This window comes from Homo sapiens, chromosome 4 (assembly GCF_000001405.40).
Source record: "Homo sapiens chromosome 4, GRCh38.p14 Primary Assembly".
Classification (NCBI taxonomy): Eukaryota; Metazoa; Chordata; class Mammalia; order Primates; family Hominidae; genus Homo; species Homo sapiens.
Window position 1 is genome coordinate 1,932,973 of NC_000004.12, and position 23,344 is coordinate 1,956,316.

Genomic DNA, 23,344 nt, shown 5'->3' on the forward strand with positions numbered 1-23,344 from the left:
TGGCTGGCTGTGCCATGTGGTGCCTATGCTTGGCAGTGCCTGAGCAGGTCCTGCTGCCGAGCATTCCACGGGCTTCTTCCCCAGACTGCCTTTGCACCAGCCTGCAGTGGTGTGGCCAGGAGTGGGCTTCACGAGGGCTGCTTGCCTGGCCCCCATCACACCAGGCTGGAACTGCAGCTGGTGAGGGCCCCCACGCTTTGGCTGCTGACTCTTCTTGCGCATTGGGCTCAGGCCTAGACCTGAGGTGAGGCTCTGTGAATGCATTGGCAGCAGGGCACGGACACTTACTTGTACCTCTGCCTGAGGCCTTGCTGGACCCTGTGGAGCTGAGCACTCTTTTGCTGGTGTCTCCTGTCCCAACAGTAGTGAGGCTTGAGGGTGACAGCGTCCTTCAGGGCAACAGTGTCCTTCTGCAAGATGTTTTTTTTCTTTGAGTTGGAGTCTTGCTCTGTCGCCCAGGCGGCTGGAGTGCAGTGGCGCGATCTCGGCTCACTGCAAGCTCCGCCTGGCGGGTTCATGCCATTCTCCTACCTCAGCCTCCCGAGTAGCTGGGACTACAGGCGCCCGCCACCATGACCAGCTAATTTTTTTTTTTGTATTTTTAGTAGAGACGGGGTTTCACTCTGTTAGCCAGGATGGTCTCGATCTCCTGACCTCGTGATCCACCCACCTCGGCCTCCCAGAGTGCTGGGATTACAGGTGTGAGCCACCGCGCCCGGCCCTGCAAGATGTTTTATGAAGAGTCCATTAATAAAAACCCTGAACCCCTCCGTAAAGCAGTCATGCAAATGATAATATTGGATTTATATTTAAAATAAACATTGGCATGTTGAAATTAATCATCTCTGTAGAATTTGCACTTACACCTTACCGTCTTAGGTTGATATTGTTTGGATGCCTTAGGTCTTGGATTAACTGCTATTCCTGGGAACACCTAACACATGGAACAGCTGAGCAAACATGGAGGAAGCCCTTAATTTGCATATATAAATGTTGTGTTACTACTTAACATGTTTAAGGAAATGTTTAAAAAGTAGCAAGTTGTTTTTTTTTTTAAGTTCAACTTAAATTCCACAAGTCTTTGAATGTTAGTAAGGAAAAGATTTTTTTTTTGTTTTTCGTTTTTTTTTTAGACAGAGTTTCGTTCTTGTTGCCCAGGCTGGAGTGCAATGGCACAATCTCGGCTCACTGCAACCTCCACCTCCTGGGTTCAAGCGATTCTTCTGCCTCAGCCTCCTGTGTAGCTGAGATTACAGACATGTGCCACCATGCCTGGCTAATTTTGTATTTTTAGTAGAGATGGGGTTCCTCCATGTTGGTCAGGCTGGTCTCAAACTCCCGACCTCAGGTGATCCGCCCACCTCAGCCTCCCAAAGTATTGGGATTACAGGCATGAGCCACCATGCCCGGCCTAGGAAAAGATTTTTTTAAAATACTGGGCTATCAGGAGGCAGAGGTTGCAGTGAGCTGAGATTGTGCCATTACACTCCAGCCTGAGCTACAAGAGCGAAACTCCATCTCAAAAATAAATAAATAGATAAAATACTGGGTTATATTTAAATTTAATGCTTTAATACATTAAATTATAATTATAAGGCCAGGCGCGGTGGCTCACGCCTGTAATCCCAGCACTTTGGGAGGCCGAGGCAGGCGGATCACGAGGACAGGAGTTCGAGACCAGCCTGACCAACATGGTGAAAACCCATCTTTACTAAAAATATAAAAATTAGCTGGGCGTGGTGGCACGTGCCTGTAATCCCAGCTACTCAGGAGGCTGAGGCAGGAGGATGGCTTGAACCCACGAGGCGGAGGTTGCAGTGAGCTGAGATTGTGCCACTGCCCTCCAGCCTGGGTGACAGAGCGAGACTCCATCTTAAAAAAAAAAAAAAAAAAAAAAAAAAAAAAAATATATATATATATATATATATATATATATAAAAAACAGATAAAACAGATGCTAATATAATCCCTAAGGTTAGATATAGTCACCAGTTTTTTTGTTGTAAAGAGATTTGATCTGTAAGACATAAGCCCTGGAAATCAGCAGGGTTACAGGAAACCCATCATGGGCTGGATCTGTATGTTGAATGCCCTGGGTAGGTTCTCACAGTGCTTCAAATGCAGCTTTTGGAGTGGTTTTCATGTACATTTTCCCCATTCCCCATTCCAAGGTAATGTAAATGGGAAAAAAAGAAACCACACAAAGAGGATACAGGACCCTACAGAAGATGCTGAAGCTGAGGACACACCCAGGAAAAGACTCAGGACGGACAAGCACAGTCTTCGGAAGGTAATTGTGTTCCAGGTTTGCTTGACCTGTCAGAGTGTATGCTCTGTGACTCTTGGTGCCACTGTTTCCCTGCATGGGAGCACACATGAGATGCAGGTGTCAGTGCACCCAGCTCCTTCCAGGCTGGTATTCAGCAGAAGGCTTGCATTTCTTACAGAACCCCATTGAGAAAGGCTGCTTGCAGGTTCTTACCCTCCAGGGGTGTTATCACAGAAACCGATGGTGTGTTGCTCTGCAAGAAAACAGACATCCAAATGCTTTGAGTAATACTTGTTTTTTAGATTGGACAAAATTGTCACTAAAAATAACCTCTTTGGCCGGGTGTGGTGGCTTACGTCTCTAATCCCAGCACTTTGGGAGGCCGAGGCAGGTGGATTGCTTGAGGTCAGGAGTTCGAGACCAGCCTGGCCAAGATGGTAATACCCCGTCTCTACTAAAAATACAAAAAATTAGCTGGGCATGGTGGCGTGCACCTGTAATCCCAGCTACTCAAGAGGCTGAGGCAGGAGAATTGCTTGAACCTGACAGGCAGAGGTTGCTGTGAGCTGAGATCATGCCACTGCACTCCAGCCTGGGCGACACAGCAAGATTCTGTCTCAAAAAAAAACAAACAAAAAAACCCCCAAACACCATAACCTCTCTATAGGGCTTATTATTCAGGATGTAAGTAATGAACTGGCATCAAAGTCCATTAGAGATATGTGTTACATGTCAATAAAAAGTCAACAGTTCATTAAAGGCAATGAACCTAGATTTTATTTAGTTTATTAGTAATTCATGTTATTGTTTACTGAATGGGAATACTAAACAGGCTGTGCAGGAAAAGTGCAGCATAGATACAAAGCCAGCCCCGGGTCCTTGTGCTCCTCGCTTACTGCCAGCATGTGTCCAGGGACAGAGTTTGCCTGGTACCTGCAGGGGAGTGAAACCAACCAAGGAAACACCGGGTTATTCTGTCTAGCGTATGGTGCCCATGCATGTAGAAGACGTGAGCCCTTTTCCTAGTGTATGAAGTGGTGCCATTCATTTCAACTGTCTCAGATGTCCGGTTAACTTTTTCATGAACTGAGACTTTAATTAGACTTTGTACTTTGTTTGAATTTCTATTTTATTCGATAATAGTTCTGGCCGGGTGTGGTAGCTCACACCTGTAATCCCAGCACTTTGGGAGGCTGAGGCAGGTGGATCACCTGAGGTCAGGAGATCAAGACCAGTCTGGCCAACATGGTGAAACCCCATCTCTACTAATAATACAAAAATTAGTCGGGTGTGGTGGTGCATGCCTGTAATCTCAGCTACTCGGGATGAGGCAGGAGAATCACTTGAACCTGGGAGGCGGAGGTTGCAGTGAGCTGAGATTGCGCCACTGCACTCCAGCCTGGGTGACAGAAGGAGACTCCATCTCAAAAAAAAAAAAAAAAAAAAAAGTTCTGACAGAGTAGTTGTATATTTGTGATTTTGAGTAAAGCTTCATCCTGTTTTTCACTGATCTGAGTTAAAATGCTCTTTTTATTTCAAAGAATGGAAAATACATCTCACATATTGCTAAGGTGTAAATATGTGGACACCATATCATTTACCTTATTTCTTTAAACTTGTATTTGTAGTTGAGAGGAGCAGGCAGGCCCTGCGCCATTTTTCTGGCCCACAGAACATTCTTCTGGGGCACCTGCCATAGGTGAGGTTGTTGAGTGATCAAGTGTTCAGCAGTAAGCTAGGTCAGATTCACCTGTAGTCACTAAGGTTTGTAGTTACCAGGAAGCCTGCACTTAACATTTGCTCTGGTCACCTAATTTTTTTTTTTTTTGAGAGGGAGTCTCACTTCGTCACCCAGGCTGGAGTGCAGTGGTGCAATCTTCACTCACTGCAACCTCCGCCTCCTCGATTCAAGTGATTCTCCTGCCTCAGACTCCCGAGTAGCTGGGATTACAGGTGCGTGCCACCATGTCCAGCTAATTTTTTTGTATTTTTAGTAGAGATGGGGTTTCACCATGTTGGCCAGGCTGGTCTCAAACTCCTGACCTCAAGTGATCCGCCCACCTCCACCTCCCAAAGTGCTGGGATTACAGGTGTGAGCCACTGCGGCTGGCCAGGTTACCTTCTATTAAAGCAGCCCTTTGCTGGCAATCATACTGAAACTGGTTGTTTTGAAATATTTGTGTAAATGTTATACCTAAAAAATACATGACCCTAGACACTCAGAATACCAAAATTCACATTAAGTGGCTAGTAATGTTTTATTAGCTCCTATCTCAGGAGATAGCACATGATAAAAAGAAGTAATGGTGTCTTGTCTCTTCAGATTTGGGTTTTATAAACCTGAGCCAAACCACATATGACACCCAATGTGCACTGAGCACTTCTGACATGCTAGGCACTGTCCCAAGTGCATTCTCCTGTCGCCTTGTCCATGATCCTCTGGATTCCACCTCACCGCATCCTGTCTCACTGGCTCTGGTTCCAGGCAGGTGGGTGAGATGGAGTATGAGTGCAGGAGTGGCAAGTCATTCCCTGGGCAGCGCTGCTCTAGTGCTATGGGGACAGGACAGTTTTCAGCCACACCTTTCAGAATCTCAGCCCTTGAGAAAAGCTTCATGATCCCTTCTCCCATTTCTTGCTTTTCTCAGTTGTGACATGTTTTACTGATGATCTTTGTTCATTAGGTGTATCTGGTGTTTGTCTAAAAATTGGAAATCCTCAGTATAGTGATACTAGTAATGTTGGTCCTGACTTAGCAGGGCTGAGTCTAACTTGATTGGGCACCTCTTGAATGGAAGGATCCATTTTTCTCATGTTCATCCTCTGCTTTGGGTTCAGTGGAGAGTCTAGGTGCATGTTCAATAAGACTCGTATCAGGTGTCTTAACCACATGACTGCAGCGGGTCTTGGCGTGGCCCCACCCACCTCGCCCTCCTGACAGATGCGAGAGCGGGAGGTGCGAAGAAAGAATCAGTCCAGATTGTGAAAAAAGTCTGAGATTGGGCAACCATGGATGACTTATGTGTGGAACACATTTCCAAAGGAAGAAGTTTCTGCCACGAAACTTTTCAGCAACCTGTGTTCATTCACATGAGGAGATTTTTTTTCCTTTCTTTTCCTTTTGTTGTTCTTTTTCTTTTTTTTTCCTTTTTTTCTTTTCTTTTTTTTTTCTTTCTTTTTTTTTTTTTTTTTTTTTTTTTAAATAATAGAGAGACACAATCACTGACAAAACGGCCAGAACAAGCTCTTACAAGGCCATGGAGGCAGCCTCCTCGCTCAAGAGCCAGGCAGGTAATGTGGTCAGCGCCCTTTCCTTCTTGGCTTCTGGGTGCCCAGGCTGGGCTGGGTGGGTGGGCTGAGAGTGTGAAAGGGGAAGGCTGGGGCTGGTGAAGGGGAACAGGGCAGGGGAGGAATCCACAATTAAGCTAGGAGTGAAAAAGAAGGAAAGGAGGTTCTCCTGTGGTTGAAAACTAAACTGTTTTAATGTGTATGTTATTTTGAAGGGTTTGGCTAAATTTTATTGAAGTTACTTTTTACTTGGCTCTATTATTTGCAATTTAAAATTTTACTAGAAAAGTGATTTCAACCAGAAGTTTTCAGGTTTCTTACTTGATGGTGCCAGTTGCTACTGTAAATTCTGTCACCCTTCAGTACCCTGACCCTCTGCATGTAAGCTAACAGTAAGGGCTCGTTATTTATATTTCACATGCTAAAGAAACTAGCTTAAAACCTTTATGAAAAATAATTGTCAAAAAAATAAGAGGGGAAATTACACTTCCTTTTACCTTTTAGTTATCTTTTTGAAATACCTGTTTGATCCCTTATTGAAGAAGTCATACCTTCTCCAACTCTTAATTAAAAGGAAAACAAAACCCTGGGGAGGAGAGTGGCAATGGCTCTGTTTTTCTTGTTTTGCATGAGGTGCTTGACTGGCTTTTAAAAATCAGTTAAACAGACTTTAAAAAAAAAAAAAGACATGAGCAATTGGACATTTGAACGCTAGCTGATGATATAAGAGCATTGTTACTTTTAAGTGTGGGAGTAGCATTGTGGTTATATGTAAGACTTTATGTTTAGAGATTTGTGCTAAACTTCTTATGGATGAAATGATATGTCTGGGATTTGCTTCAGAATAATCTGGCAGGGGGACGTGGAACCAGGTATGGATAGAGCCACGCTGGCCCCAGGTTGATGTTTTTGGGGGCCAAGTAGCGAGGACATGGGGTTCATTGTACAGTTTGTCTGCTTTTGTTTATGTTCAGATTTTTCCATGATAGAAAGTTAAGCCAGAAGGACAAAGGAATTCAGAAGATTCATCTTTAGAACTTCACTTATTTGAGGGGTAATTTTTAAGCAGTAAAAAGATCAAGGGTTTATGATTTGAAACTTTACAAACCAAAATTATTTTACAGCAACGAAAAATCTGTCTGATGCATGTAAACCACTGAAGAAGCGAAATCGGGCTTCCACGGCAGCATCTTCAGCTCTTGGGTTTAGCAAAAGTTCATCTCCTTCTGCATCCTTAACTGAGAATGAGGTAAAATAATAATAATAACGATAACCATGGCATTGGTATGAAGGCCATTTAGCTGCCCACGCTGCAGTGTGAGTAATGCTCAGACTTCATAAGCGCAGCATTGGTGCTCACTGCCAGTGCAGATGTTTTAGGGCCTCTTGGCTAACTCAGATTCATGAAATGGACAAACAGTGCACTATGTTAGTTTATTTGAGCACTTTTTATACACACGCACACAGTGTCTGTGTACATGTACAGATATACTTCAGTCTTGATGCAGTTTCATAGTTCTTAAAATCTGTCTGAAGAATGTTGTGTTCTGTGTAGCCCTCACACTGTAAGAGTTCACATGGAAGTAAGTCTGCGTTGGTTCTGAAAGGGCACAGTGTCAGTTGAGCTGACATATACTGGGTGGGGTGGAAGGCGACTCACACACCACACCTGATTCCTGTTGCTTCCAGACCTAGGCTCATGGAGGAAGCCAAAGATTTCTTTGTTCTCATGCATTTCATGGCTTTGGTCCTTTAAATTCTGGCACATTTTTAGTTACTTGAGTGTTGAGGTGAGTCAGAACTACCATTGTAATATGACTCCTGTGTTCTGGACTTGCAGAGTACATGATAGCAAAATAAAGCCATTTGGGGCTGCTGCCTGCCATCATTGTAACATGACACTTAGACTTTATTATCAAACCTAAATTTTTTGCCGTTGCCAAAAACAACAAATAGCCACAGAACGTAGGTGTGACACTTTTTTGTTCGGAGGTAGTTTTGGTTTCCTGATTTTTAGGGATTACCTTCATAGAGCTTTGGAGTTTTAATTTCTTGTTATTTGGTTCTCCGTGATGCTGTTTTTCTCATTGTAGACATGGGTCCTGTTTTTGTCATGTTTATGAGGAGATGATAACTGGGGGCCCTTTTGGAACAGGGTAGTGAGGCAAGGGTTGGACAGGCCCCTTACTCTTGCTGAGTCAGAAGGCGGCACTTCTGGCCAGGTCTCTGCCATGGTCCCCAGGAAGGATGGGGTGTGCCTCAGTTGTTTCCACTCATTAGAGGAGTGTAGGCCTTCCAGTGCAGGAAGGTCAGGGACCTAGGCAACCTGGGCGGGGCTCATAGAGCTCTGCGGCTTGCCACTCTGAATCCTCAGCGACCACTCCTCCGAGTGGGATTTTCTGCAGGGACTCAAACCAACTCAGTGGTGGTCGAGACCTGTTCACGGATGGTGGGACTGGGGCTGCTTTACAGTTTGATACGTGTAGATAATTAAGCATTTTGTGATGTTTGGACACACTGGAGAAAAGGCAGTAAGAATTATTTACTGAAACATCTAGGAGCTTACTGAAATATGAAAAGGCAAATTTTATACAAATTATTTTTCCTTTTTCCTTTCTTTCTTGTCCAAGTTCAGGTTAAAATCTTAGAAAATTAAATGAAAGGTCATTTACAGTTCCAAAGAAGAATATTAAACATTTTTCACTTAAGTTGAGATTTTTGCTTTAAAGAGCTTTTAATGAGTTTTTCTGTTATCATAATTTTGGTCCGGTTATTCACTTGAGTTGTTGCTTATACTGTTGTCAGGTACAGTAGAGAGAACATGGAGCCTGCTGAGATCTTCTCTGTTATTCCTGATCCTAAGTCATGTATATCGAAGGCTTTGATTTAGAGTAATGCATGAGGCCAGTGTAGCGGGGTCGAGGCCTGCCCATGAGTCAGGGGAGCTCAGTCTCCCTGGCCTAGGCAGTTGTCCTGACCTTGAGAAGACATAGATGAAGCATTTTATCATCATTAGACTTAAATTTTAATTCTTCAGAATGTCAGAAGTTGATAGGTTGTTAAATACATTTATATAATACATTAAATATGTGAAATTAATACACCTTCCTACATTTTGAAGGTGATGCATAGATCCCATAGTGTGCATCATGTTCCTTATATGAAAACGTTTAAATTACTGGGTCTTTTCCATTAAACTACTTTTGTATGGCTTAGATAAATCTTCCATTAGTGTTCATTTTTATAGAATTATGCTGTTAAAACTACTTTAGGTGAACAAATAAACTTGTCTATTATATATTAACGCGACTGAACTACAGTAAATGTTTGTGATGTTTCCAATGCTGAATGCCTGTTAGCATATGAGGCAAAGTGTAGTGTTATAAAAAACAGCCTGTTGACTGCTGGGCCCGATTCTGATATGAGTTAGGTGACCATGAGAATTGCTGTTTGAGGTCCACACTGACACACACCCATTGGGTCACACCCCCTTTGCATGTTTGTATTTCCTCCCTTTCATCACATTTGTTTGAAATAAGGTACTTTTATAGGGTTGGTATTTCAGAACACTTTAGGTCATGTTGTAGTTTAAATTCTTCTTGAAAAAGGTATATGTGATAAATAAAAATTTTTATTGGAATAATTATTACATGGTACTACATCACCCTGAGGAAGAGAATAAATTAAAATTACACACTTGCATGACAAAGGCCTGTGAAGGAATTAATGTGATTTAAGTGTTTTGTAACTTCATTTTTTATTCCTTTAGTAGAGCAAATTCTTATTTTTTTCGCCTTCACTGGTAACAGCTTTTGTGGGAGCCCACACCAGTCAAGTTGGATTTGAACCCAGCTGCTCTGTACTGCACTTAGAATGATGTAATATTCCAGGATGCTGCTGCAGGTGGCGTATCATCGTACACACTCAGTGACATTTCTATCACAATCATTTTATGGAAGATGTGTGATAATCTGTTTTTACTGGTATTAATAAACACATACAATGAAGAAAACAGATAACAAATTTTAAGACCAAGGTAAGATAACTAATCAAGGCCATTTAATCCGTCACATTCATCTCATAATAGAAACACGTTCATATTCCAGTGGTCAATGTAGATTTCAAGTTGAAAGGCAGTCCCTTTAGTTGGGGGCTGTCCAGAGCTGCAGCAGGGCTTTGCACGGAAGGGGTGGCCCTGTTAGAGTTGCTTCTCCTCTAGTTTGTAACTTACTGGACTTTTGTGGAAAATATCAGCGTCGCTACCCTCAGAAACAAACTAACAGCACACGTTAGGAGGAGTCCTCATCAGCTGTTCTCATTGCCAGTGAGATATATTCAGTATTGTAGATACTACACTAATTTCCAACATAAGAGGCAGGAAGAGTTTTGATTCTATCCTTTTTTACTAAACAGTTTTATTATGACACTAGATACAGTAAATTTTTAGAAAAAAATACCATTTACAGTATTATTGTGAACCATTTAACCCTTTTGATCCAAGGCCCCGGACCAAGGGGATACTGTAATCAGGTTATGTACACCAACCTCTGCATCAGTTGCTTCTATAGAGCATCAGCCCTCATGTTTCATTGTCTTAATGTCGGGGAGCAGCCTGGTGTCCTGCCCCAGGTGTCCGCATTTTTGCATGGTAAGGAAAAGGCTTACTTGCCCTTCAGCTCATAAAAGCAGAAGGTGTGCTATTCACAGTACCATGCGAGTAGCCCACAGTTAATTCCCGGCAGATTCTTTGGCTGTGTTTTATCTTTAATGAACGTTTCTGACTAATATTTTGTTGTAAACCATTAAGTAATGTAACGCATGTAAGATGCTTAGGGTGCCTGGCCAGGACTCCGTGGTTTCCTGTTGTGACAGTAATAATGGTTATAATAATAAAAATGATAAAATTGCCATCATTCTATTTTTATCCAAAAGTATAAATTTTGCTTTGGCATGAAAAGTGGTCCTCTTGACTGCATTATGCATGCGAGGATGAAATAAACCTAGAAGTGGCAGAACACTGGATTTGTGTGTGTGGCGCTTTAGGGTGCTGGACTGTATGGCTGAGGGCTGGTTGGGTTCCTCTATTGGCTCTGCTCAAATGTTGCAGGATACATAGCCCCAAAGATGGTCTAGGAGCAATCTAAGCTGTGTTACTCCAAAGGACATGAAAAAGCTCAAGAGTAAAATTAAAATTCTCAAAAAAAAACCCCACGAAATTTAAAGATGGGGAAAAAAAGATGGTATAAAAATGGCTCTGGTTCAATAAGCAGTCACCCAAAGTAAAGACTCTATCTTGAAAGGCTTTTGGTGAAAATGAAGGGATTTCATTTGAAATTACAGCATGATGAATTTTGCATGGGTGGCCAGCCAGCTAGCCCATAACTGATAGATGCATTAGAAGTCAGCCAGCGCATAGGTGCTCCCTCTATATTATGGAGAAAGCAAAACCCTGCAAATGACCAAATGGTGTCCAAAGAGCAGCATGACATTGGCATCAGCTGAATAACCAGGGGCACATGGGGGAACGTGGATGGGAATGATAGTGTATCTCAGCGGGGGGTGGGGTGACATCGTTCCCTGGGGACATTGGGAAGGTGGGCAGGGGCAAGTGAACTCAGCACTCTGCAGTGAGAGGGACAGTCCCATGTGTGGCAGCATTGTCCCACTTCAGATGCCAGGAGTGGGCTCATCCTAGAGGAGCGGAGTTTTCCGAGAGGACCATCTCCTGGTTTCCTGAAGGAGGTGGGTGGAAACGGCTCTTGTTTGAAAGAACTTAGGGAGGACCATTGGCTTGCCAAGAGTACAGAAATTCATTATGCTGCTAATTTAACGTGGAATTCCTTCATTTCATAAGAACCTCAAAATAATGGTGATACATTCTAGCCTTAAGACATTTGAATTGCCGGTTGTTGAGGTGAATTTTGTTTGTCATACATGGAACCATTTTAGTCCCATTTGACTCACTTCAGACCATCTTCCACACACTATGTCTGTGCTTGGAGAGGGGAGGTGGCTCTCCAGTGTAAAACTTGAGGCATTCACTAGAGGTGAAAACTTGTCAGAATATATAAAAGCTTAGATTGTAGCTGTTCTAAAAACGTAAGTACTCCATTGTAATAGGGTGGCATCTTCAGGTAGTGCACATATTGGCAATAGAGGTCCTGAATTGTTTTTCTAAGACTGATCTGAGAGCCATTGGGCCATCAAGCCTTTATATATCTGCTTCTAAAATTGCCCCACCTGCTCTAGATGGATCTTTGGGCCTTTCCTCAGTGTTCATGCAAAAATTAAATGTCTTTTTTCAGCATACTGACTCCAGGTGTAGTTACATCTCAGTGCTGTCTTGAGTATATATTTTATCTCTTATACCTGTATCTCCCAACTAGAAACAGCTCCAGTGTTTTTAAGAGAATGTTTCTTAAAACCAATAGGAAACTTAAGCGAGGTTTCATGACACAACCTTTCATGTCGTGAAAGGCAGAGGGTGACTGTGTGTGATGTGCAGAGTCCTTGGACAGGAGTCGGGGGCTCCTCTGTCCCACTGCTGCTTCTTGAGTGGGTGGAGTGGTGCTTAGAGGATCTCCGAGAGGTCCCCGCAGCTCTAGGGAGATCTGATTTTGTGTTTTTTGTTTAAGTACTTCACACAGAAGCCTAGGTAGATTTAAAATGGGGTGCTCAGGGACTGGGGAACAAGACGGGGTGGGGTGGGGAGATGGGCATTTGGAGAGTCTCATGTAGCTGGAGACGTTAAGAGCTGAGCACACCACAGGAAAGGAGGGAGGATGCTGTGTGAGAGCCATGCTGTCAGGAGCAAGCTTGCTGCTCCTGTGCTGCCCTGGCCCTGGCCTTGCTTGCCCATGGTGTGTGTGTCCAGAGGTGTGTGTGAGGCTGCCAGAACAAGTGCTGGGTCTGTCACAGAGAAGTTTAAAAAAGAAAACTAAGATTATAAATTAGCATCTAGTTCCAAAACCAAAAAAAGTGCCTGTGGATGTATATAAAATTAAGATGATAAGAAAGTGCTCCTGAGAAGGCTCTTGCCAGAAGCCTGATGTGAGTGTGTGGCACCTGTGATGGCAGGGCTGTGAGCTGGGCTTCTGTCCTCCTCTGTGTCCCGGCATGGAAGCCAGTATAAGCATTTCCAAATGAGGGAAAAGTCCTTGGCTCGTTTGATCCAGTTGAGTTGAAAGGGTTGCCTTGGCAGCAGAGGCTCCTCTGATGGCTGACATCAGTCACTGCGTCTGGGCCTGAGACGTGCATGGAGGGCTGTAAAGCCACGGATTCCCCTCGCTGGAGAGGCTCCTGTCTGATAGCGGTAGATGAAAAATAAGGTCGTTATGACTTTGGCAACTTGCTTCATTTCTTTTTCATTTGACTTACAACACACTTCTCTAACATCTAGCCCTTTTAAATTTTTAATTAATTTCAAAGCTTCCTCTGGCCAGGTAGACTTTTGTATACAGACCAGGTGAGAGCCCTTTTGCCTTAGTGTGAAAATGTAACATTTTATGCTTTTAAAATCAATAGATTCATCACCTTAGTTTTTTAAAAAAAATCTATAAATAGGGTAATTGCTGAGGTGTGCGGTTTATCTTTGAGATGATAAAGCTAAATTATAGTCTTTTGCCAGAGAAACTGAGGTAACTGTCATTAGAAAAGGTTTCTTAAAATACTCACAAAGCTGTTATTGGCTTCTTAACTTCTAAAATTTGGGGGGTCTTGCATTTATTTATTATTTATTTATTTATTTATTTAGAGACAGAGTCTCACCCTGTTGGCCAGGCTGGAGTGCAGTAAGTGGCACAATCTCGGCTCACTGCAACCTCCGCCTCCTTGGTTCCAGCAATTCTTCTGCCTCAGCCTCCCGAGTAGCTGGGACTACAAGCGGCTGCCACCACACCTGGCTATTTTTTTTTGTATTTTTAGTAGAGACAGGGTTTCGCCATATTGGCCAGGCTGGTCTTGAACTCCTGACCTCGTGATCCACCCGCCTCACCCTCCCAAAATGCTGGGATTACAGGCGTAAGCCACTGCACCTGGCGGGGTCTTGCTTATTTTAAAAGAAATATTCTGATTCATATTTTAGGACTTTTTGTCAACGAAATTGGTTTTGATCCCTTTGGGTACCATTTTTATTGTTTTATGTAGAATGTTAGAAATTACCACTAATTTACCTGGCAGTGATGTCAAATTGACTGTAATTAGCAGGTAGAAAATTATTTGTATTATATTCATCTGATTCCTATACTGGATGAGCAAGGAGCATGCTTCCTTTGGGACATTCTTACAGCAGGGTGTCTCTCCAACAGCCCGACAGGCCTCATCTTTTTGGTTGGATACCTTTGAACTCCATGGTTACGTGTTAGGTCCACATTTGTGTTTTTTTCTAGCCTACCTATAGTTGTTGGCCTTTTTGCATATAACTCTCGGGTAATATTTTGAAGCATGCTGACCATCCAGGCATATAGTATTTTCAAGAAATGACTGAGGTAGGGGTGGGGGTCCTGGTCCGGCTGATGGGGGTTTGCTCAGCACTGTGCCAGTGGAAGCAGGTGTATTGTGGGCAGTTTTGTCATTGTCCTCAAGTCCTTCGCAGACAGTGCACAGCCTGCTGTCTGCAGTCGGCCAGACCAGGCTCCTCCCCAGCACACTCCCTGTGGGATGGCCGCTGCTCAGGACACAGTGGGACAAAGTTGGGTTGATAGGATATTTTAGATTCATTTTACCTTTGACAAGGGCAGGCCTTGAATTGGGAGCAGCAGCCACCTGGCCTCACTCTGGCCACAGGTGACACTTGGTCCTTGCTGCCACCTGCTTGGGGCTATGTGGCTACGGCTACACAAAAGCCTGTGCAGGTTAGAAGACGACTGTGGTGTGCAGTGGTGCTCTGGGAGTGGAGACTTCCTCTGTTCTCAGAGACTCACCCCCAGCCCTGACCCTAGAATTTAGGGATAGCCAGGAAGTTTCTAGTTTGTGTAACCTAGAAGGGTCACTTTAATAAAAATTGTTATGAACTATAGTATTTTAGATGATGAGTGACTTATTTTAATTCCACTTTAACATTTTACTGTGCTGTTAACTTGGAAGACCTGTTTGAAATTAGTCTTGATTTCACACTCATTTAATCTGCTGAGCACAGGGCTGTTGTCATTTGTAAACGCAAACACTGTGGAGGTACTTCTCGCCATCAGCTTCCTTCTTTACAAAACCATCATTTCAACATGAAAATTATGTCAGTTTATAGAAATATTTATTGTTCAAGGTCTGTAATTGTATTTCAAAAACGATGTCGTATTCAAGTTGTGAAGGGATTTGTTTTGTCAAAAAATTAAAAACTCAATGTGTATGACGCCACTCTGAAGAGTAGGTGAGCGCTTTGCAGTCACAGAAGGTGGCATCTGACTGCGGCTCATACAGGTCACCCTGAAGGGCCACGTGCTTTTAGCAGTTGGCTGGAATGTGTTCACTAGGTTCCGTTATGTTTGGTAATATCATCTTGAAAAGTCCCTGTAATAGATCAAGGAGACTGCATTCCCTGCCCTGAAGGAATGTATTTCTAAGGCAAATAGGCAACTTGGTACTATCTTATTCTGAGTAGAGAGTGGAGAAAGTATTTTCAGACTGAAGAAAACTTTGAAAAGTCAGGAGCTAAGCTGCTCGGAGCTCAGTGCCGCAGCATGGCTGTGGTGGACGCGGGAAACAACGGGAAAGTTCTTGACAGAGTCTGTGTCCGCTCAGTCCCTGCACTTTTCCTTTCCAAATGCATCTCGTTGGATATGGAATAGATCGTAGATGTTGTAGACTGAGATTTGGGACTATGTTGGGACCGTACAGGTGAATGTGCCACCTCCACAAATGGCTTCTCCGAGTGAGTCACGTCACCTGGTGCGTGGAGGTGGAGCCTGCGGCTGGAGTAAGGCTTGCTGTGGGACGCCCTCGTACTTTGCTCTCCTTGCGGGTGGTTGCCGAGCCGAGAGCATTGGATCCTCCCCGACTGTGGCTAGTTGTCTGTCCGGTGGCTGGGAGGGGGTGTGGTGGGAAAAAGTCGGAATCTCTGCAATCTGTGTCATGGACTGTACTATTGTAAGGTCTATATTCTGTATGTGGGTCCCAGACCCTGATCAGGAAATGAGCCTCATGTGTGTCGTTAACATTTATATATTTCCATTCAAAATATGTATTCAGTGTTTATTTCCTCAAAACAGACTTTGTTAATGTAGGAAATCTCTCCAAGTGGAAACGTGCTAACTTTTTCTGTAAATCTGAAATAAAAGGTGCTGTTCCTTCCTCTGACCCAGGACTGCTTTGTGTTTTCTGTCTTTCTCTCCATGCATTTTTTTTCTCATTTTTAAAGCTTTTTAAGTTTGTTCCACCACGTTAAGGGAAGAGCATGGGTTGGTGGATAGCGCTGGGGCTCTCTCCCCTGAGCCATGCAGAAGGCCCCTTTCTCTGGGCCTTGGTTCCCCCATCAGATGGGTCAGCTTGGGCGACTGTGTGGGTGACTCTCTGAGTGGGGCCCCAGACAGTGTGGCCACTGCTTCCCCATGCCCTGTGCTCCCCTGGCTCCCCCTCCAGTCTCATCTCAGAAGTGCTCAGGTCTCCACTGCTGAGTCCATATCTGATGCGCTTGTTAAATTGGAGGTTTGAACTCAGAGCACGTCAAGTGGCCCTTTGTGGGTGTTAAAGAACAGGATGTGCGCTGTGGCTCTTGCAGGGCCCTCCTGGCAGCCTCACAGTGACAGAGCCTTAAAGTGTGCACTGCTCTGATTAGTGTTCATGACGCTAGTCCATCTTCCTGGAAAAGGTGAGGAAACCAAGATTAAGAGGCTGCGTTTTCTTTAGACTTTGTGCTGTCAGGAGATGTATCTAGTGAGAAGAGAAGAGTGGCTCACATCTGTCACCACCCACAGTCACCAGTCAGAGGCGACGGAAGCCCTTGGAAAAAGCCCACTCTGGCTGGGTGCGGTGGCTCATGCCTGTAATCCCAGCACTTTGGGAGGCCAAGGCGGGTGGATCACGAGGTCAGGAGTTCAAGACCAGCCTGGCCAACATGGTGAAACCCCATCTCTACTAAAAATACAAAAAATTTAGCCGGACTTGTTGGCAGGTGCCTGTAATACCCAGCTACTCAGGAGACTGAGGCAGGAGAATCACTTGAACCCAGGAGGCGGAGTTTGCAGTGAGCTGAGATTGTACCACTGCACTCCAGCCTGGGCGACAGAGCAAGACTCTGTCTCGAGAAAAAAAAAAAAAAAGCCCACTCTAACACTACTCTGAAGTCAGCAAACACTTCTGTGTTAGTTTTTAATTTGTTTTTCTTCCACCGCTCCCTGCAATGTCAGCTAAATGTGGAAAAGCTCACTGATAAGGTCACAGGATTGGTCAAGAGTCCCTGGTGGGGTTGGCTTTTATTTTTTAATATGGCCCAATTCCAATTTCTGACTTCGTGTTCATTGGCAAACAGCAAGCCGATAACATAATTACTTGTTTTTGTGATGATTGAGGTGTACAGGAAATGTAGTTTATGCTTTTGCTCTGTTTCATCTCCAAAATTCAGTGTTCAACACTTATTTACCTAACATCAAATAAAAACCAAATTTTTTAAACACTTGATTTGACAGACAAGAAGATTCTCTATTTTATTCATTTAAATATTTGTTGATGTTGCTTGTCAGGTGAGGGTGAAATGCTGTGTATGTGAGGGTGAGGCTGAGGCTGTATTCAGCCTGGTCTTCAGTGATTTCTATTAAATGAAGGGGAGAGAGAGGCAGAAGAGATACAACCTGCGAGCAATTCCACTCGCTCAGGGATTCCATGCCTTTATCCCAGGCCTTTTACCTAGACTCAGATGTGAATCAAGTAGGTAGATTTTACCTTGCCTTTGCCCACCTCACTTCTCTGGTGGGGAGAACAAGTGAACTGTGAAATATCAGGACAAATAGGCAATGGGAGGAAGAAGAGAAACCGAACGGTCAGCCTGTGGTGTGAGTCCGGAAGACTCTCCTGACTCTGCACCCCCGCGTAGGCACATACTTCTGAAAGGACGCATGGTCTCCACCCCGGCGGCAGCTGGACTGCACGGTCACCTGATGAGGCTGACACTTACTTCATCTGTGGTTCCTTTACACATTCGTTTGGTGTTAGCATGTTTCTCCCACCTTAGAGTAGTAGAACCTGAACAGACTAGGTAAGAAGGGCCAAGATTCTTGTTCCAAAAAGCCTGTCTTAGTTCACCTACTAGAGCAAATTGGATGTTCATAACACTTCCTTCATTTTAAGGAATATGCCTCTTATATGCATATATATGCTAAATACTAGGTAGAATAAAGTCCGTTTTTGAATTTTCTACATAGCCTAATTGACGGGTTATATTATCACAAAAACCAGTTGATGATGGTTCCACTGTGAAATCACTGGCGGTACAGGACCAGTGCTGAGAAAGACTGGTGGGTGGTGGGGTGGGGCGGGACGAGCCTGCCTGCAGGGCATGGCCACCCGCTGTGTTCTGCGACTAGTGAACTGTCATCCGCCTCCTTCATCTCTAGGTCTCGGACAGCCCGGGAGACGAGCCCTCGGAGTCCCCATACGAAAGTGCAGACGAAACACAAACTGAAGTATCTGTCTCATCCAAAAAGTCTGAGCGAGGAGTGACTGCCAAAAAGGAGTATGTGTGCCAGGTGAGGAGAAGGCAGCATCCGCTATGTCCGTGCTGGTGTCTGACTGGGGCCCCGGTACGCAGAGCGAATTTGTAGTGTCTTTTCCCTTCCCACCAGACCCCTTCCCCAATCTCACCGTCACTCACTCATCTCTGTTTTGAAGGGGTCAGACTGACTCTCAGTGGAATCCTGGGATTGAGTTGTCTCCATTAACATCCATAATTCACATGTAGGATGAGATTTGTATACACATCATGTAATACACACACACACACACACACACACACACACACACACACACACACACACACACACACACACACACACACACACACACACACAAAGTTCCTGTTGGAAAAGGTGAGGTGCTAGGCCTGTTTTAGCTTCACTGATGACATGCACACTGGACAGGCCAGGCTGTGGGCTGAGGGGGCCATCACTAGACCTGTGTGTGCCCACAGGACCCCAGCCAGGCCACCTACACTCTGTGCTTCAGTCCCGCCCCATCTGTCAGCTGGAGATGGCATGGGAGCTTCCATGCCAGGCAGTCGATGCATGGGAAGTGTGAATACTGCCTGCCGTCAGCGTGGCACCTGCCATCTGGATTAGGGTGCCTTTGATTTCTGTTGATTTTCAAATCTGATTTGAAATATCTTGGATGTATCCTTCAGGGTTGTGATCCTGTTACTTCCTTTGCCATTGCTGAGGACTGGCCTCTTTCTGTAACAGTCATCTGGTTTTAATCTGATTCTGTATTTGTACGTTCTGTTTGGGCCAGACGTTTGCCCATGCATGTTATTATATATCCTTGAGTAGCAAAATGGGATTTTCTGCCACTGGAGACAGAAGCAGACGGCTTCCCTTGTGGTAAGAGGTGCAGAAGGGACTGCCGGGCGCTGCTTACCCGCCTGCTCTGCCCCCGCAGCTGTGTGAGAAGCCGGGCAGCCTCCTGCTCTGTGAAGGACCCTGCTGCGGAGCTTTCCACCTCGCCTGCCTTGGGCTTTCCCGGAGGCCAGAAGGGAGGTTCACCTGCAGCGAGTGTGCCTCAGGCAAGTTCCCACGGGCGGGCAGCTCTGCAGCCTGGCCGGCCACCTGCTCCTGCAACCCCCTGCACCAAGTCCTGCCCTGAGCTGCCTGCAGAGGACAAGCCCCCTCCCCACCCCCACCGCCTGGCCCTCTCTGGAGCTTGTAGCCCACAGCTGGCAGGTGTACCCACCTCTCAGTAGCTGCAGGGTTTGCTCTGATTTCAGTCGTATGTGCCCCCTTGGTACCTTTCCATCAGGTGGCGGGCAGGGTGGCGGGATGACAGGTCATGGGCTTTTCATCCCGTGGGCTGGCCTGAGCCTGTGCTATGTGTGAGGCGGCCACCACAGGGCACTGCCGCTCAGACAGTGCAGCATTAAGGGTACAGGTAACCTGGTTGGTCACCGAACACTGAAGTCCATAGGAACATGGAGTTCTTTATGAAGACACAGTGTCACCTTGAGCCTCAGTTTCAACAGAAAGAACAGCTCCAGGCTTGTCCTGGGTTGTCAGTGCTGTTGTTCTGCCTCCATGTTACTGCATCAGGTGTCGCCCGGCACAGTCTGGGGTCTGTGAGGATGATGAGAGGACACCTGCACAGCCGTGGCCCTTCCTGCCTACTCACCGGGCCCAAGGAGTCTCCTATCTCACGTCAGAACACTTCCTGGGTCAGGAAGACACCTGGAGAGTCTCCCAGGCCATGGCAGCCCCACAGCAGCACCTCACTTATGGGAGTGTCTGTCTGCCTGCCCAGAATGATAAGTGACTGCTCCACCACTGGCCAGCTGCTCTCAAGGAGGAAAGGCCTCTTTTCATAGGAGCCCCTTCTTTCAAGCTTCTTGCCAGTTAGACTGGGCCTCCCCAGCCAGGCTGCCTAGTAAGATTCTCCTGTATTTCAGGTGAAGCTGGAGCTCAGATCGCAGCAAGGTAATCCTTGATGGCTGGATCTTTTTGCTGGAGAATGCTTGGACTAGTGAGCAAGGTTGGAAACAGGGCCAGGTGCTTTAGCAGCATGGCTGCCTCTGAAGAGGAGTTGCTTGATTTTAGTGGCTCAGAACTGCAATTTAATTCTTGTTCTTTGCACCTCTCTCTCCACCCCTTCTTTAACTTTTTGTTAGGGATTCACTCATGTTTCGTGTGTAAAGAGAGCAAGACAGATGTTAAGCGCTGTGTGGTAACTCAGTGTGGAAAATTTTACCATGAGGCTTGTGTGAAAAAATACCCTCTGACTGTATTTGAGAGCCGAGGTTTCCGCTGCCCCCTCCACAGCTGTGTGAGCTGCCATGCTTCCAACCCTTCAAACCCAAGGCCGTCAAAAGGTACAGGTGCACCTGCGCAGCCTTGCTGTGGGTTCAGATGCAGGCCAGACGCAGGCCCATGGGCGCTTGGGAAGGTGGGCTGTTGGGATTGTCACCAAAGAGCATTAATTATCTTGAGTGACTAACTGGACATCGGCTGGGTTGGGTTTTCTTTGACAAAGGACCTGTCTCCCTTTTCCTTCTTTCCATCCTAAATATCACCCTAAAGATGCTTAACTATAGGAGAGGGGCAACCTTTGGACCATTTGATAGATTTTGTTTACCCTGGCTTTTTTTTTTTTCTTTATAGAGATAGAGTCTTGCTCTGTTACCCAGGCTGGAGTGCAGTGCAGTCACAGCTCACTGCATCCTTGACCTCCTGGGCTCAAGCTGTCCTCTCGGGCTCAAGCTGTCCTCCTGCCTCAGCCTCCTGAGTAGCTGGAACTACAGGCACATGCCACCACACCTGGCTGATTTTTGTAAATTTTTTTTTTTTTGGAGAAAAAAAATCTCCCTCTGTTGCCCAGGCTGGAGTGCAGTGGCACGATCTCAGCTCACTGCAACCTCTGCCTCCCAGGTTCAAGCGATCCTCCTGCCTCATCCCTTCAGTAGCTGGGATTACAGGCACGTGCCACCATACCTACCTAATTTTTGTATTTTTAGTAGAGACGGGGTTTCATCATGTTGGTCAGGCTGGTCTTGAACTCCTGACCTCAGGTGATCCACCCGCCTCAGCCTCCCAAAGTGCTGGGATTACAGGTATGAGCCACCACGCCTTGCCAATTTTTGTATTTTTTTGTAGAGATGAGGTTTCACCATGTTGCCCAGGCTGGTCTTGAACTATTAGGCCACTGCTCTGACCTCTTTTCTTTTTTTTGAGACAGGGTCTCCTTCCGTTGCTCAAGCTAGAATGCAGTGGTGTGATCATGGCTCACTGTAGCCTTGACCTCCCAGGCTCAGGTGATCCTCCCACCTAAGCCTCTCAAGTAGCTGTGACCACGACGCCTGGCTAATTTTGTTTATTTTTTTGTAGAGACGAGGTCTCACTGTTGTGTTGCCCAAGCTGGTCTTCAACTCTTGGGTTCAAAGAATCCTCCCACCTGAGCCTCCCAAAGTGTTGGGATTACAGGCATGAGCCACCACACCCAGCCTGTTTGCTCTGGTTTTAATGGCCCATTATATGTAAGAAAACATCTTTAAATCAAATTACATTTGGATTTTCTAATGTTAGGTGTGTGGGATGAGGGTGGCAGGTTTTCTGTACTTCTTGACACCAGTGGTTCTTTATCGGGCAATTTTGTCCTCCAGGGGACATTTGGCAATGTCTGGGGATATTTTGGGGATGTGCTCCTGGCATCTAGTGAGTAGAGGCCAGGGATGCTGCTCCACACTGCACAATGCCCAGGTCGGCTGCCCACGTGCCCCAGGTGCCTGCAGTGCCCAGGCTGAGACACGCGGCATTTTAGATGTATGACCATTTTCTCAAACATGGTTTTGAAGCACCTTTGCTCTGAAAGCTTTTTTTAAATCAAATACCTCCATTTCATTTTAGCATTAACTTTTCAAATTCATGGAGGCTGAGTAATTATTAGTTGCTCTTTTCACTATGACTGGAGTCAGTGTTTGGGGTCCTTAGGGTGTGTTTCTTTGCCTTCAGGTAAAATGATGCGGTGTGTCCGCTGCCCCGTTGCCTATCACAGCGGGGATGCTTGTCTGGCAGCAGGATGCTCAGTGATCGCCTCCAACAGCATCATCTGCACTGCCCACTTCACTGCTCGGAAGGGGAAGCGACACCACGCCCACGTCAACGTGAGCTGGTGCTTCGTGTGCTCCAAAGGTGAGGGGCCTGGGGGTGTCTGCGGCACACGCCTCTCACACTCCCAGGAGCCACATATCAAGGCAGGCTCATTCCTTGTCTGCGCTGTGTTCATTGATGTTGACAGTGTTCTGTGCGTCTTCACGTTAATAGTATATCACAGTAGCTCTAAATTAATTGTAATCATTTCGCAAACATACAGGAAATTATTTGTGGTGAAAATGACATTTGCTCTCGTGCTGATGTACAGATCGCTGTTTTAAAACTGATGTTTATAAGTTAAGGCTGTAATAAGTGTAGACTGTGAAGCACTGAATCTGGGCTGAGCCATAGCAGACAGGCTAAGCCTGGCCGCCTCGCCCTCCTCTTGCAGGGGGGAGCCTTCTGTGCTGTGAGTCCTGCCCAGCGGCCTTCCACCCTGACTGCCTGAACATCGAGATGCCTGACGGCAGCTGGTTCTGCAATGACTGCAGGGCTGGGAAGAAGCTGCACTTCCAGGATATCATTTGGGTGAAACTTGGGAACTACAGGTGTGAGACATAGAATCGTATGCTTTTATGTCTTTTCTGTTCACATGTGTTCGCTTTACAGTACTTAAAGTATTGAAATTATTATCGCTGTCTCTGAGGAGTCTGTGAATCCTGTTTTTAATATTTATAATAGATGGTGGCCGGCAGAAGTTTGCCATCCCAAAAATGTTCCCCCAAATATTCAGAAAATGAAGCACGAGATTGGAGAATTCCCTGTGTTTTTCTTTGGGTCTAAAGATTATTACTGGACGCATCAGGCGCGAGTGTTCCCGTACATGGAGGGGGACCGGGGCAGCCGCTACCAGGGGGTCAGAGGGATCGGAAGAGTCTTCAAAAACGGTACGGAGATATTCAGATAGAGAGTGAGACAGCACTCTCGTGCATTTTCTTACCCCTAATTTCTATTTTTTAAAATTTGATCTTTATAGAAAATACTGGACTAAGCATTCAATCTGTTTTTTTAAATT

General features: G+C 45.4%; 1 protein-coding gene across 23 annotated transcripts in view; it reads left to right on the plus strand.

The window, feature by feature from the left end:
* The window catches only part of NSD2 (nuclear receptor binding SET domain protein 2), a 110,800-nt gene that overhangs the window by 61,580 nt on the left and 25,876 nt on the right, over window positions 1-23,344 (plus strand). For 13 of the 23 annotated variants that reach the window (NM_001440892.1, XM_047416137.1, NM_001440893.1 and 10 more), the window contains 9 exons: window positions 2,172-2,290; window positions 5,479-5,560; window positions 6,682-6,806; window positions 18,100-18,231; window positions 19,136-19,259; window positions 20,352-20,552; window positions 22,189-22,368; window positions 22,721-22,877; window positions 23,011-23,216. In NM_001440892.1, coding sequence (NP_001427821.1) covers window positions 2,172-2,290; window positions 5,479-5,560; window positions 6,682-6,806; window positions 18,100-18,231; window positions 19,136-19,259; window positions 20,352-20,552; window positions 22,189-22,368; window positions 22,721-22,877; window positions 23,011-23,216 — 1,326 coding nt within the window. Of the gene's footprint in view, window positions 1-2,171; window positions 2,291-5,478; window positions 5,561-6,681; window positions 15,848-18,099; window positions 18,232-19,135; window positions 19,260-20,351; window positions 20,553-21,617; window positions 21,714-22,188; window positions 22,369-22,720; window positions 22,878-23,010; window positions 23,217-23,344 lie in introns of those variants that run through there. The other 10 variants (XM_047416141.1, NM_001440897.1, NM_001440898.1 and 7 more) reach the window with 7 other exon arrangements.